Genomic DNA, 15,076 nt, shown 5'->3' on the forward strand with positions numbered 1-15,076 from the left:
GAATGTTAGCTGTCAAGTGAACAAATGATTGTGGAAATATAAAAGCAAAGCAATGCATGTTGCCTTAGGAATAGCTCATTTGCAAAATCTAATATGCTATTACATTGACATATTTCCTCATTTCATCTATTAAATCTTCCATTTTAGTAAAACTAGTTTGTTACAACCAAATGCTGTGATTATGTGCACTTATGTATACATCATAAGTGTATAGTCTGCCTATAATGTCTAAAGAATGCTGGGTCTGAGTTGAAAAAAATAGGAAATTAAGATCTAGGTGTGAATGAACAGCCTCTGCATTTCAAATATCTTTGAGTATGACTACCTCCTTTAAAATACTTCTGAAACATATAGCTTTTTAAAATTTTAGTTCTTCTAGCACATCAATCAATCAATCAAACTGTAAGTTGTTCTTTTAAGAATGTCCATTTGGAAAACTTATGGAAAATAGATCCCATGAATTGAAATACTCCCCGGATTAACTGAAATGTATTAGTGGGAACTGCTTGTGAGATATTACAATGGAGGTAAGGAATCACTTTCCTGTTCCCTGAGTTTTTGTTCTCATCTTCCATCTAGGACTTGGCCTATTTTATTTGAATCTGCCTTTATTTGGCCTGGGAAAAAATGTTTATGTAAAAATTGAACCCTCTCTGGCTCTTGCAGCAGCTTGTTTGTGGTATAGATGAGTGTGCAGGTTCAAATTCCTCTGTTCACTGTTGACTAAGACCTTGAAGAGTTCTTCAGGCTCCACTAGGCCCGAGAAGAGTCTATTGAGAGTCTCAGCCTTTTTCTTCCTGCCAAGTTACTTTTTTATTAGGTAGATAAACTCCTGAATTGTTGAGAAGCAGCTGTTTGAAGAAGGATTTGGCTGATTCTCATGAGGTTTCTGGGTGCATGAGAGATATATTTTCATCTGGGATCCATTGGTCCCGAGCACAGTTAGACCTGGATGACCTCTCTTTCTTGCTCTATAAAGGTTTCTGGAATGTGGTGGAAATGCAGCACTGCTTTTCAGGGAAAGCTGCAGCCACTCAATCAATTTCCTTTTCCTTTCTGTCTCCCATCTAAATGTGGATCTCTCTCCATAAATGTTAGTCTTTAAAATTAGGATTTCAGGTAATTTGATGTTTACTAGATGAATGCTAACCACGTAGAGTATATGAAACTTTACTTAGAAAAAAAAAAAAAAAAAAACAGAAAAGAAAGAAAAAGAACCCCCCAAAAAACCATGAGTTCTGACTAAGACTAAGCCTGGTCAGATACATGAAAGGGTTTAAGCTGTTAATTTTCACATATTGCTCAAGTAAGCAAAACTAAAAGCATTTAATTTCTCTAATAATCTCAGACATGGTTTTCTTATAATGTACTACACAATCTGTATTGATTACTCTGTCGGTGAGATACACATTTAATAAACATGTATTCCAAAGTGAAGCATAAAATCAAAGTTTAAATTACTATTCTTGAAAGCCACTTTTTCCCCCAGTGTGTCAAAACAAAATAATTGGGAGACAACAAAGACTTACATTTCAATTGTTTCTTGAGAAACTAATTGATAATAGGTATTAAGATGAACAGGGCATTTACAGACAGCAGAAGAATAAATTCCATACTTTTTCAAAATATGTTAGTGTAGAGATGACTTCCACCCAATCATTTGGGAACAGAAAAGAGCTTAGCTGGAAGTTGTAAAGGAAGAATAAATTTTTAGTGTTTCTGAAAAACACATAAAAATTTTCAGTATTATTTAAAAAGTATTGAATTGATAAAAAATTAAATATCAAATCTTGATCCACTATGCCATTTATATCTGCATATAATAAAGATTAGATTATAAGCTTTTAGCATTATTTTTGCAAAGGGCATTATTTACATATAAGAGCAAATTTCTTTGCCAAATTTAAGCACCCGGTTTTTGAACTTTTAGTATCTCCCAAAGCAGTATTTGCAGCTATGCAAAAATTTTTCACATCTTTAATGCTCTTCAGAAGAGGTCTATAGAAGGCAAATTGTAAATGTGTAAAGTGGTAAATAGAAGGGGTGATTCAAAGGAAAAGCAAATTGACATTTGTAGTATTAGAGGGTACTGTTGTTTTTGATTTGTTATATGCCTTAATCTGGCATGCTATTTCACCCTTCATGACACACATCAATACCTTCTTTATGTCTGGCTATTACCACTCATTTAAAAATCTATTTTACATGATTCTTTCAGCCAAAAAAAGACCATAATGACACAGAATACAGCATGTGCTTCATAAATTCTGTAAGAATCAATACTTTGGCTGGGAATCTGTCAGTCTTTCAAAGTTATGCATCATTAAACTTTACTGTTATTACAGTGGACTCTTCCTCAAAGTTCAGTAACTTGCTCATAATGGAGAAACGCTTTTAAAGCCAGGAAAGCCAGAGAGAGGCAAAAGCTACTAGCAGTGGGATATATACCTGCAGATGATGCTTCATTTGCAAAATGCAAATAGAACCAACACTGTTTTGCTTATGTATGGGCAGGTAGTTTATAAGCTTCAGGTTCCATTTATCTAAAGGCCCTGTAGATGATATCCACACAAGTTTGGAGAATATGGGAAATATTCTTCTACTGACCAGATTCCTCCTGCCTTCTAATAATAACCTCTGATAATTCCAGCAGTCAGGTTAAAAAACAGATGACAGCTGGATTCTTCACCCATTTTACACTATTTTCTGGATTAACTTGTAATGAGAACATGAGAGGTATTTGTTGTTTGTCATAATGATTGGTTCCAGGAGACACTTACTTTTCAGCCACACCTGTAGGGATTCCAGCTGTAATCATGGCACCTGTGAATGGCCTCGTCAGCATCAAAACCAAATATTGGCAGAGTGCCACTTGTGAGTTGTCTCCTGGTTTCACCCCAGTCTCATCAGTCAAGATCTCACTATTCTTCTAACCATATGAAATACATGAGGTTCCCAGAACTGACTGAGCTCTTGCTGCTGGGTTCAAGGCCTTGGCTTCCGTAGTTCCTTTCACCTGTCCTGCTATTTCCCCTCTTAGCTATTACTTTCTCTTTTTTTTTTTGGCAAAAAAAAATTTTTGAATGTAATAAAGAAATGGCAATAACTGGTACATACATCAATTCAAAATATTTTCACTAAGCACCAAATAGAATAGTTCCCAATCTTTTCACTAATAACCGCTTTGCAAGAATGCCTAAAACTTAATCAGTTTATTTAGGCTTTTAGTCAAGAAATATAAAGCTGCCAATCAGAGTTTCTAATGACCATGAGACAACCAGGTTAACAGCCTTGAGGTCATATTATATGAGCTTTTAAAAGCTTTGTTTAACCTATACATTGTAACTCAGGGGATTTGTTGGTGTCAGGCTGGTAATCACAGGTCCATGTTCCAGATACCATATACACACACAACAAAAAGAGAAAGACTATATGATCCCTGTATATTTAAGGGGAATAATGTCTGATTCTTACAGGTGTACAATTAGTGAGGGGCAGAGAGACAGGTGCAAAGCACTAGCCTTCAAGGGAGAACCAAGCAAGGGCAGTAGAAGAGATAAAAGTCCTGTGCCCTTGGGGTGCAGCAAAATGGGTGCTGGGAGGCTCCAGGGAACAGACACATGAGTGGATGTCAGTACATGTGGGAAGGGGCCTTCAAGGCTGAAGAAAACAAAATGAGCCAAGGCACAGAGCCACAGGAGTACTGCCAGTCAGAAGATAGTGAAGCATTTGTCCTGGGTAAAGGGATGTGATCTAATAAGATCTAGTAAGAGACTGTATAAAACTCAGAAAACCTCACCCAGTGAGAGCCAAATAATGCTGGTCTCTATTTCTTTTCTTTTTTTTTTTTTTTTTTTGAGATGGAGTTTTATTCTTATTGCCCAGGCTGGAGTACAAATGGCATGATCCTGGCTCACTGCAACCTCTGTCTCCTGGGTTCAAGCGATTCTCCTGCCTCAGCCTCCCAAGTAGCTGGGATTACAGGCACCCGCCACCATATCTGGCTAATTTTTATATTTTTAGTAGAGATGGTGTTTCACCATATTGGCCAGTCTGGTCTCAAACTCTTGGTCTCAAGTGATTCACCTGCTTTGGCCTCCCAAAGTGCTGGGATTACAGGCATGAACCACTGTGCCCAGCCCTGATAGTCTCTACTTCTTATTAGCAATTCGACAGAGAATTTGAGGCGACCTGAAAAACTAACAAGAAAGCAAAATATCCCCCAAAGGCAGAGGTGTCACATGCTCTTTGTGGAGGTTAAGTAGTCAATGATCACTCTGCAGCCCCTCCTCACCCTCACTGCGACACCCCAGTCTCTTGGAATCAAATCCACTGGCAATAACCTTCCTTAACGGAAAATGTTTTCCCTCCCAAAATGTAAAACAAAAATAATACAAGCAAGCAAAACTCAAAACAGAAAGGGATGATCAGAGCAAGCTTTAGCCCCTTGTAGCTCACTTATGCCCCCATTGTCATGCTACTGAAAACAGTGTCTGCCCCCATTAAACTGATTCATTACTGCAGAATGAATGGCAAAATTTAGCGTATCACTGCTCCTACTACATTCCTGAAAAAAAAAAAGTAAACACCACACAAAATATAAACTTACCCCCAAAAGAAGTCAGCATCAACCTAAGGATCCTACTGTAATATTACTACACTAACCCAAGACATTTTAATCCTCTTCTGACTTATTTACCAAAAAATACTCATTTTGAGAGCTCTGGAAGCATTACAAATATTGTATTAGATTTTTCTTCCTGAGGTAGTTTGAAGTCTTGAAACAAGAGCGAATTTACATATTTTTCTACACACCACTGAGGGGTAATTATCATAAAAGGCCTACAACCAAAATCCTCATCCCCCGATTCTCAGGCTGTCACAATTTTTTTTTTTTTTTTTTTTTTTTGAGACAGAGTCTCACTCTGTCACCCAGGCTGAAGTGCAGTGGTGTGATCTTGGCTCGCTGCAACCTCCACCTCCTGGGTTCAAAGTGCTGGGATCCCTCCCAAAGTGCTGGGATTACAGGCGTGAGCCACAGAGCCCAGCCTATAATTTTTCCTTCACATCAAACAATGGAAAACACACATAAAAAGATGAAAAGTCATACAAAAATTAAAAAACAAGCAAAACCACCATTAAAGAAACTGTGTTGTCACACTAACAGTCTAAACTTTGCTAAAGACCAAAAAAAAAAAAATTTTTTTTTACTTGGTTTATCCAAGCTACAGACATTTTATAAAGTACTCAAGAAATTAATAGCTTATAAAAATAGTGGAACATTTTTCAATGACATCATGAAACTAAAATCAACTCATTCTCTGGCAAAGAGTTCTTCCAAAATGTCAAGTCTACAAGAAGGGATGTAGGCCAGGCGCGGTGGTTCACACCTGTAATCCCAGCACTTTGGGAGGCCGAGGCGGGTGGATCACGAGGTCAGGAGTTTGAGACCAGCCTGACCGACATGGTGAAACCCCATCTCTACTAAAAATACACAAAAAATTAGCCAGGCGTGGTGTCGTATGCCTGTAATCCCAGCTACTCGAGAGACTGAGGCAGAGAATTGCTTGAACCGGGGAGGCGGACTCCGTCTCAAAAAAAAAAAAAAGAAAGAAAGAAGAAGAAGAAGAGATGTGTGGCAAACTTCACGAAGCAGCCCACTCTCAGGCTGACCACCTTTGCCTGTTGTTCAGGTTGGCTTCAGAGGTGCAGGGATGTTGGCAGACGCCTCCTCAAGGTAGGCCAAGGAGTCCCGAGGGATACCGATGCTGGCCGGCTTTTCAAGCTGAACGTTGATGTCCTCCAGCACCTGGTGCCAGCGGCTCAGCTTTATCAAGTGCTTCTGGACTTCTTTCCACTGTAACTCATTCCTTAGTTTTGAGACATCCTCTTTGATAACCTGCTCTGGTTTCTGGACAAATAACTGCAATATTTTTTGTAAGAAAAAGCATTCTGGTGACAGAGCAAGACAGACAGAAAGAGAGAGAGAGAAAGAGAGAGAGAAAAAGAAAGAAAGAAAGAGAGAAAGAAAGAAAGAAAGAAGAAAGAAAGAAAGAAGAAAGAAAGAAAGAAAGAAAGAAAGAAAGAAAGAAAGAAAGAGAAGAAAGAAAGAAAGCAAGAAAAAGAAAGAAAGAGCATTCTGTCTTTCTTTCAATATCCAGAAACTTCTGGCTACACTGAGCAATAACAGTTTGAATGTCTTCCTAATCAGTGCAGTTGACATAGTCCTGACTCACCGGAGAAGTTAAGCATGCATCGCAGGATAACTCCAATTACTCCGCCGAAGTACTGTTAGAAGGTCTCAGAGCACGTGGAGCTGTCTGAAGAAGCGAAGTCTGGCCCCGGAGGGCCAGTAGGGGCCCCTGTAGCTGCCCAGAGAACATACCCCCTAGCGGAGCTGCTGTGGCTGGAATGGCGTGGAAGGAGCCCACTCTTAGCTGTTACTTTCTGTATAATCTCTGAATATTTGTCACATTCTCTGGGAAGTCCTCCCTGATCACCTTACATTGAGGAGGGCGCACCTCTGTTCTGGCGAGCACCTTGTTTTGCCCTACATAATATTTATACGGTAATGAAATCGCCTGTTGAATGTCTGGCTTCTCTATAACAGTGAGAGTTTCAGCAGGGACTGCATCTATTTCCCATTGTACCCCATCACACAATTCAGTGCCTGGCACACAGTAGGTGCTCAAAAAAATCATCAATGAATAAATGAACGATGTCTTCCATGTGCAAAGTAGAAGTAAATACTAGAAATCTCAAAGAGGCATAAAATTTAGCTCCTATTCTGGAAGCGTTTACAATAAGGTGGGAAAAACAGTATGGACATAGGTTTTTTATAAAGAAGGAGAAAAGGAACTAAGAACAAATATAAGAACATTAATAACAAAAATTATTTTCATTAGCTGCAAGAAAGTAATAGTTTATTTGTGATAATACTAAAAAAAAATTTCTCACATGAATCAGTAAGAAATAAACAGTCATTTGAATGTCAGAATCATATCAAATTACAACACCTTTCATAGTATGTTCTCCCTTATCTGTGGCTGAAATGTCTCACCCACTGGTTTGTTGACAATGCCTTCAAGGCCATATTGCTACATGGGAGAATTTGAGTGCAGACATTCCTTCATATTCATTCTTCATGCAACCTTTCAGCTCCAGATATTTGCAAATTTTGCCTCAGCTATTGAAATTTGTTATGGAAATAACAATGAAAAAAAAAACCTTGATTCCCACTTCTTAAATGAGTGTTTATACAATAAAGTGTTTATAATAGTACCTGGTACCTGGTTAACTTTCAATACATGTTTGTTATTCTCATTTCATACCCCTTGATATCTTTAAATTCCCCTTTCTAAGGCACTGAATCTAAACCTGAAAGCAAGTACAGATGGAAAAGAAGAGCGATATAATGAACCTTGCACCAGGTTCTTGGACTGGTGTCATGCATGCATTTAAAATTACAGTTCAGAGTGCAGGCATTTGAACTGGCTCACAAACAATAAAGAATTGTGCCTGGTCTGGGTCAGGTATAAACAAGCTGGAATCTGGCATAGGTAGGATGTTTACTAGTTTGGTGTTCTGGTTGTGTGCTTTCTCTTATTCCTATAATCTTCACCTCTGATTTTTTCTGTCATTCTGTAAGGAGACTTAGATTTGGTCATCTTCCCACCATATGCTAAGTCTAGCATGGTGGGCTTTGGAGTCAGAAATTCCTGAGTTTGGACCTGACCTCACCATTAGCCTCTCTGAACTTCCTTTTCTTTATTTGTAAAGATGGAATTAATAACCAGTCCTGCTTTCTTTAAAATATCTTAAGGATAAGTACTAATTAATATAAAATTAATGGTATAGGTATACTCTAATCTTGGTGAGAGAAACAAGCTCCTCTAAGTAGGTAACTGATTAGTGTCAATTGTGATGGATATAAATACGATGAAGAATTGGTATCATGTACAGTTCAATAGGGCTCTAACACATCACAGTACGTGGTCTGTGCCCAATAAGCTATGCTCCATGTTTTTTTTTTTTTAATGTTCCTACCACACGGTTTTGCAGTTGTTCAGAATTCAATATGTATTTTTGAATCAAATAGAATTTATAAGAATAAAATATAAGCCCTAAATAATGGCAGGAATATTCTCCTATAACTTTAGTGTCTTATTATTATTCAAATACTAATTTTCAACATTGCTGAGTTATCTAAGTTTATGTAGAAAGGTTTTGGAAGAGTCTGTCAAGAAAACTCAAAAAAGTATTGTAGAAAAGTAATTTTCTGACCCAGTGCAGGTGTTATGTTTTTCATCTCTAGGGAGTAATGTTTGATTATATTTTATTTGGTTCATCCAGGGGCATTATGCCAGGAGCATCTTCAGATTGTGTAGTACCTCACACGGCCACCACATCTAAGGGGCATTATGTACATCATAAACATCTTTAATAGTTTAATATTAAACATCTTTAATAAACATCTTTAATACTCTACCTTTGGACTTAAAAAATTGTGTATTTATTATGACAGTTTTTCAGCAATAGCAGCTAAATGTCTTCTTCTTAAAAGATCAAAATATTATGATAATTTACTGACAGAAGAATTGTAAAAGGCCTCAAAGAAGAGATACCTTTTTTTAATCCAGACAAAGATACCATAGAGGCTTGCAGCTGCCCTGTCTTCACAATGCCTAACAGTGATGAGAGACAGTAGGATGTTAATAAATGCTTGATGAGATAACAGTGAATAAACAAAACATTTCAAAGAGTATGGGTATTGTGAAGGATTATGACAATAAAAGACAGTATTACAAACAGCCAAGAACACAGACACTGGAGTCCAAAATACCTGATTTCAAGTGTTGGTTCTGTGGCTCACTGTCTGTATGTCTTGAATGAGTTACTTATCCTTTCTCTGCTTCATTCTCCTCATTTGTAAAATAGGAAAACTATAGCCTCCATTTCACAGGGTGGCTGTGAGGACTAAATGAGTTAATATACATCGAATCCTTAGTGCTGTATCCTGTTCAATAGCGGCCTAGAGCATCGTATTCCACAGTCAGCGTCCAATAGGCAACAGCCTCTATTTTTAAAATAGAGACTAAACACACAATTTTGCACATATGTGTTGGGAATTCAACACATCTTTTTCTGTTGAATAGAACTGATGAGAATAAGAAAATTGTGGAAATACACTCTTAAAACTTTAGAATCTTATTATTGTTCAAATCAAGATGTGTTAGATAAGTGCCTCATCAGTGAGGATGATCGTGGTGAAGAAGGAAGAGAAAGAAATGGAGGAGGAGGGGGAGCGGGCCGCAGAAGAGGCAAAGACAAAACACTGGTCATTCGGGAATCAGTAAAAGTTAATCCTCACAATGGTCTGCAAGTCCCTAAATGGTCTATCTGCACCACGGCCCGGTCCTCCAGACACATTCTTCTCTGACCTGTCCCCCTTCACTCCCCTTTTGCTTCCTCCATTCCAGTCATTTTTGCCTTCTTGCTGTTCCTTGAATGCACCAGACACAATCCCGCCTTAGAGATTTCAGTGAAGCTATTCTTTCTGCCTCAAATATTTTTCCTCCAGATGTTTATTGGGATGATTTCCTCACCTCTTTTGAGTTTTTGCTCAAAGGTCATGTTCTCAGCTTAAGACCTACCATTACCTCCTCTCTAACACCATTACCCTTCCTCCACAGCACACACTCTCAACATCCTTACGCTGCTCTACTCTTTCTTTTCTACTTGGCTCATTTCACCTTCTAACACATATATTCATTATGCTTATTATTTATTGTCTCTCTCCGTTTATCTGAGCTGCCCTCCCCCACTAGAATTTAAGCTCAAGATAGTGGGATTTTAGTGATTTTGTTCACCGATATAACTCCCAGACCTGGAACAGTGCATGACCTATAATAGGTGCTAAATACATATTACTGTAAGATTTCTCTTTTTTATATATTATTTTCTCTCGCTATAATTTTTTTCTTTCAATTTTTTGTTTTGTTTTGTTTTGTTCTGTTTTTTTTTGTTGTTGTTGTTTTTGTTTTTTTTTTTTCAGAGGGAGTCTTGCTCAGCCACCCAGGCTGGAGTGCAGTGGTGCGATCTTGTCTCACTGCAACCACAATCTCCCGGGTTCAAGCGATTCTCCCATCTCAGCCTCCAGAATACTTGAGATTACAGGCACCCGCCATCATGCCCGGCTAATTTTTGTATTTTAGTAGAGACAGGGTTTCACCATGTTGGCCAGGCTGGTCTTGAACTCCTGACCTCAGGTGATCCACCCGCCTCGGCCTCCCAAAGTGCTAGGATTATAGGTGTGAGCCACCACTCCTGGCCTTTTCTTTCAGTTTTAATCATTTTGCACTGATATCACTTTGATTATAGGATTTTCATGAAACAATTACTGCTCTATGTCCTGGCCCAGATCTAAAATGAGCAAAGAACAAACATACAAAGCTTAGAAGAGCAAGATTCTGCTTTGTTTCATTGTTATTCTCAGCCAAATCTTCATGCCTTTTGGGGCAACTGACAAAAAACAAAAGTTAGCATCATTTATATAAAAACACTCCTGACTCAAATCTTTCTTTAAAAAGCTAAAATACTTTAAAACTCTAATTTTTAAGGTAAAAGACAAGGGCATAAATGGCTTCTCAAGTAACCCAATCAACATTTACAATCATCAATACATAGTTCTGGTTGCAAGGAGAAGGACAATTTTATAAATAATAAATAGAAGATAGGGATTATATGAGTAGGGAGGGGAAACTAAATTGTGCAAAAAGAGGCCCTCAAGGAAGAAAGTGGATAGTTAAAATATAGATTGGTTAAAATTGTTTGAGGCTCTTCCGTAGCTGAGAAAGGTGATTTGATTAAAAACACCAGTAATTTTGTTCCATATGTAAACTGACAAGTATGTCTATAAATCCACACCACCCACCCATATTTTCATTTAAAGGAAAACTAGGAAACAATTACACCCAGATTGTGTATGTTTAATGTACTAAATTACTATCAAATGAAGATTGAGACATTAACTTTTTCTCTAATGCAAACTTTTTTATGTGTCAATTTAAAATGTTCTTATAAATGTAAGTAAATTTTATTTGTTTCTACTTAGCCTAAAATAAGAAATTGTATAGCCTCAGCTGGAAAATATCAATTACACAGTCTTTGTTTCTTTGCAACTACTTCCCAGTAGATTTTTCTATTATTTAAAATTTTAGCAAATTTAATTTTTATTTTTTATAAACTGTAAGATTCTTGCAGTTTTTTTAAAAAAATTGATACCAACATTCAGTAACTATTAGGAAATATTTTTTGTATTTACTACCTGTCTAGTATTTAGAGAATTGCTTTCCCTATTTTGGATTAATCATTGTTTAATTTCTAAATCCAAGGGATTAATATATAAAACCTTAAATATTAAAGAAAAATTAATTATGTTCATTATTATTTCTATAATATTTCATACAAACCCATAATCTTAACAAGCATTTCATTCATTTATTCATTCGCCCATTCAACAATATGTCTGTATTTCTTTATTACCAAAGCTTAACTTTTTTGACTTTGATTTGTGAAAGCTTATTGCTAGGTGGATGCCATATTGTGCCTGGTGCTGTAATACACTGTATTTAACTGTCAATATCTATAAACATTTCTCAATATGACCTGTGAATGTTAGACTGTTTACAGCATTTCCTGCAATTATCTCTTCAGAAATGTGACAGAGGAAATGGGCTCGTGTCACCCATAGGATTTGAGAAACGTCTAGTGAAAATCATTGTAACTTGGCTTCAATTTGTAAGGCATTACACATCAGTTATTACCATGCACTTAGATTATTTTTGTGTCTTGTAAAATATTTTAGGGTGGTTTTTATTGCTCTTCCTTGACAACCTTCTGGTGTCTGTGTCACTATTATTTCCATTTTTAACGGAGTTCTTTGATTACTTAAGGGATAGGCCAACATTTGGGGTTAATTACCAACCTCCTTTGTTAGAAAGCATTACCTAAAAGAGGAAGAAAGAGAGGAGACAAAGAAAACTGAAGTTCAAAGAATGGGGAATAAACAATGGACTTGTTTTATTTGTCTTATTAATATGGCCTGTATGATGTAGATGGCATTATTTTATATGTACTTTGGTGAGTTACAAGGTAGACAGAAATATAACAGAATTTTACAGCTAAAAACTCACTCTTTTTTTGTTTTTCAGTGAGGAAAGATCTAAAAGGAAAATAAAGTTCAAGTCTCCTAACTCTCATGCAAACATTTCTTCTATTTCTCATATTAAATCTCCATCCTGCCTACAAGAAGCATAACATCTCAAAACAGGAACATCATATATAAATATAAGTACTGAATTTCCTCTTCCTGTACAAACATGTATGTGCATGAGCAAAAATTTCAATCACACCCAAAGACACATAGTTGTCATAGTTAACACTTTCTAAGTGCCTACTAGGTACTAAATGTTTTGTTTTGTCTTCATCAACTCATTAATAAAACACACACACAACTCTATAAGGTAGTTTAGTGTAGGTAGATTCTTTTACAGATGAGGAAATAGAGAACTGAAGAGATTAAATAATTTCCTCCTTATCTTAGAGGTAGTAAATGGCAAATCCACACACAGCCCAGATGTTTCTAACCCCAAAACAATGATCCCAGCCACTATGTGTATATTCATAGTCACTGATGTCAAATCCTTTTTCAAAATTAAGTGTGGATGGTGGGAAGTGCGTTGTGTACATAGAGGGTAGATGAAAGGAACTCTGTTAAAGTCAATGTACTAGTGACACATAGCTGTGTAACAAATTACCCCCAGAACTTAACAGCTTAAGGGAACAAACATATTATCTGTGGGTTAGGATTGGGCACAGCTGAATTGGGTTCTCTAAGTCAGGCCTCTCATGAGGCTGCTATCCAGGTGACCACGAGGGTTGTAGTTATCGCAAGGTTAGACCGGAGGAGGATCCACTCCCAAGCTTATTCACATAGATGTTGACAAGATTCAGTTCCTCGTGGGTTGTTGGACTAACGGTCTCATTTTCTCATTATCTATTGGCCGGAGCCTCCCTCAGTGCCTTGCCACATGCACCTCTCCTTAGGGCAAACCAGAGAATGGCATTAGATTCCATCAAGATGAGCAAGGAAGAGAGCAAGTGAGGGTGGACAAGACAGAAGCCAGAGTCTTTTTATAGTCTTATCTCAGAAGTGACATCTCATCTCTTGCCATATTCTGTTCATTAGAAAAATGCAAGTTACTAGGTCCAGCCCATGCTGAAGGGGAGGGAATTATACATGCATACCAAGAGGAGGGGATTCACTGGGAGCCACCTGAGAAGCTGCCCACCACAGTCAAGAAAGTGTTCTCAGAGGATATTGAGGACTATGTTCAGTTGACTCTAGTCTATATGTCTGGCTGCAGAAAATTTCCTGAATGAATGTCTTATGGTAGCCTCCATCCTAATTCAGGCAGAGCCTAACATTAGCCAGAATGAACATGCCAACCTCCAGCACTGCCTGAGAGAAGCTGTAATTCTGATAAGGAGTCATCTAGCACAAAATTAATTTCTTTCAGAATTAAATTTTCATTTCAAATATCAAAAAAGTCAGTGGATATAAATAACTATTTTTATATAATATAGTGGCAAGAAGGTGGGTTCTGAAATCTTCTGACCGCATTTACAGATACATCTCAAAGACAACAGCTGTTTGAACACAGGCAACTGAGGCTCTTAACCTATTAGAGCTTCAGTTTCCTGACTGTGATTCAGGGACATAGTGCTACTATGAAGTTTAAATAAGATGACGTATGTGACAGGATTTTGTTAACTAGAAAGTGCAACATACAAATACAAACTTTGCACTCTCCTTAGCTACAGAACAGGATAGAATGTTAAGAACAGCACTTAGCATGCTATTTCACTATCTTATTAGAGCAATAAATATCTTTGGAATATGGATGATGAATGAACTGTGTTGTTAACAGTATTCAAAGCGCTATGAGTATCCACATTTGTTGTTGATCTACTAAAGAGAAAAAAAGGATTCCCAGGCAGTTTTGTTTCAAAGAGGCACTTGTGTTTTTGAACTGCTTGCCTTGACCATGCTGCAGAGGTTTTGAGGCAATGCGCAAGCTTTCTGCCGCATTGAAAACTTCTGGCAGCATGTGCTTCCCTCAGCCATTTTCCTTCATTTCATGCTGCCCCTAGTTAAAATGTTCCTGTTGTGTGTGTGTCTTTGACTTGAGAGAAAACATTTTCTCATATCATGTAAGAACTACATGGAGTGTAGGCCCCTGATGGACCAGAAAAGCACATTAGCCTTTCTTCTTTAGTGGCCCAGATTGAAATCTCATCTGATGTTTTCCCATTAGAAATGAGATGGTGAGATATTTTCTGGGAAGTGATTTAGGTACACTAAAACAATCTATAAGGATCTATTGATTAGAAGTAGATGACTCAAACTTGATTTGTGTGCACTGAAGTACCTTGGAAGGTGATGCGATTGACAGGCTATGTGGAATAGATTTGGGACTGGAATAGTTAAGATACTGCAGCTTTGCAGAGGGGTACAGAAGCAGAGGAGTAATTTGTGGAGAACTATAAATGGAGGAAGAAAATATAGAATTTAGACTACAGAAAGCACATATTCTATTTTTAGTAATATATCTATAAATTCAAACAAACAAAACAAGGAGTTTTCATACAGAGAGTTATAAGAAGAAGGAAATTCCAGGGTGTTCTATAAACTTTGAAAATATATTCAAACATGTATTGGTTCCTGCAAACATGTATTGGTTGCCATTAGGTTGTTCCTGATTAGTTTTTGTCCACCACATAGTTTTAAAATAATTTAACAGCAGATAATAATGGTATTACCCCTCTAACTAGAATCAAACAAATAAACAAAACCTGAATCCAAATGGCCTGTTCATAATCTTATAGTAGTCCATCATAGTTGAGACCGGAAAATAATAAAGTGATGATTTATACTTGAATAATGTGGTTAAAATGTAAATTAACGTAATAAGTCAAACTCTAGCCAACTCTGAAAATGCAGGAGTCTATTGAA

The 15,076-nt window shown here is 37.3% G+C and overlaps 1 protein-coding gene, 1 long non-coding RNA gene and 1 pseudogene across 10 annotated transcripts in view; 1 reads left to right on the forward strand and 2 right to left on the reverse strand.

Annotated features, from left to right (window-relative positions):
• Positions 1-6,275, reverse strand: part of LOC101927434 (uncharacterized) — a 43,823-nt gene extending 37,548 nt beyond the window's left edge. The window contains exon 1 of the long non-coding RNA NR_125943.1: positions 6,237-6,275. This is a non-coding gene — a long non-coding RNA (uncharacterized LOC101927434). The remainder of the gene's footprint in view (positions 1-6,236) is intronic.
• Positions 1-15,076, forward strand: part of ADGRL2 (adhesion G protein-coupled receptor L2) — a 687,801-nt gene that overhangs the window by 245,296 nt on the left and 427,429 nt on the right. The gene's annotated exons all lie outside the window — the stretch shown is intronic.
• Positions 3,056-6,417, reverse strand: MED28P8 (mediator complex subunit 28 pseudogene 8; annotated as a pseudogene). Its single transcript, NR_189272.1, has one exon. The product of NR_189272.1 is annotated as a mediator complex subunit 28 pseudogene 8 (transcript).

The sequence above is a fragment of the Homo sapiens genome, chromosome 1 (genome assembly GCF_000001405.40).
Source record: "Homo sapiens chromosome 1, GRCh38.p14 Primary Assembly".
Classification (NCBI taxonomy): Eukaryota; Metazoa; Chordata; class Mammalia; order Primates; family Hominidae; genus Homo; species Homo sapiens.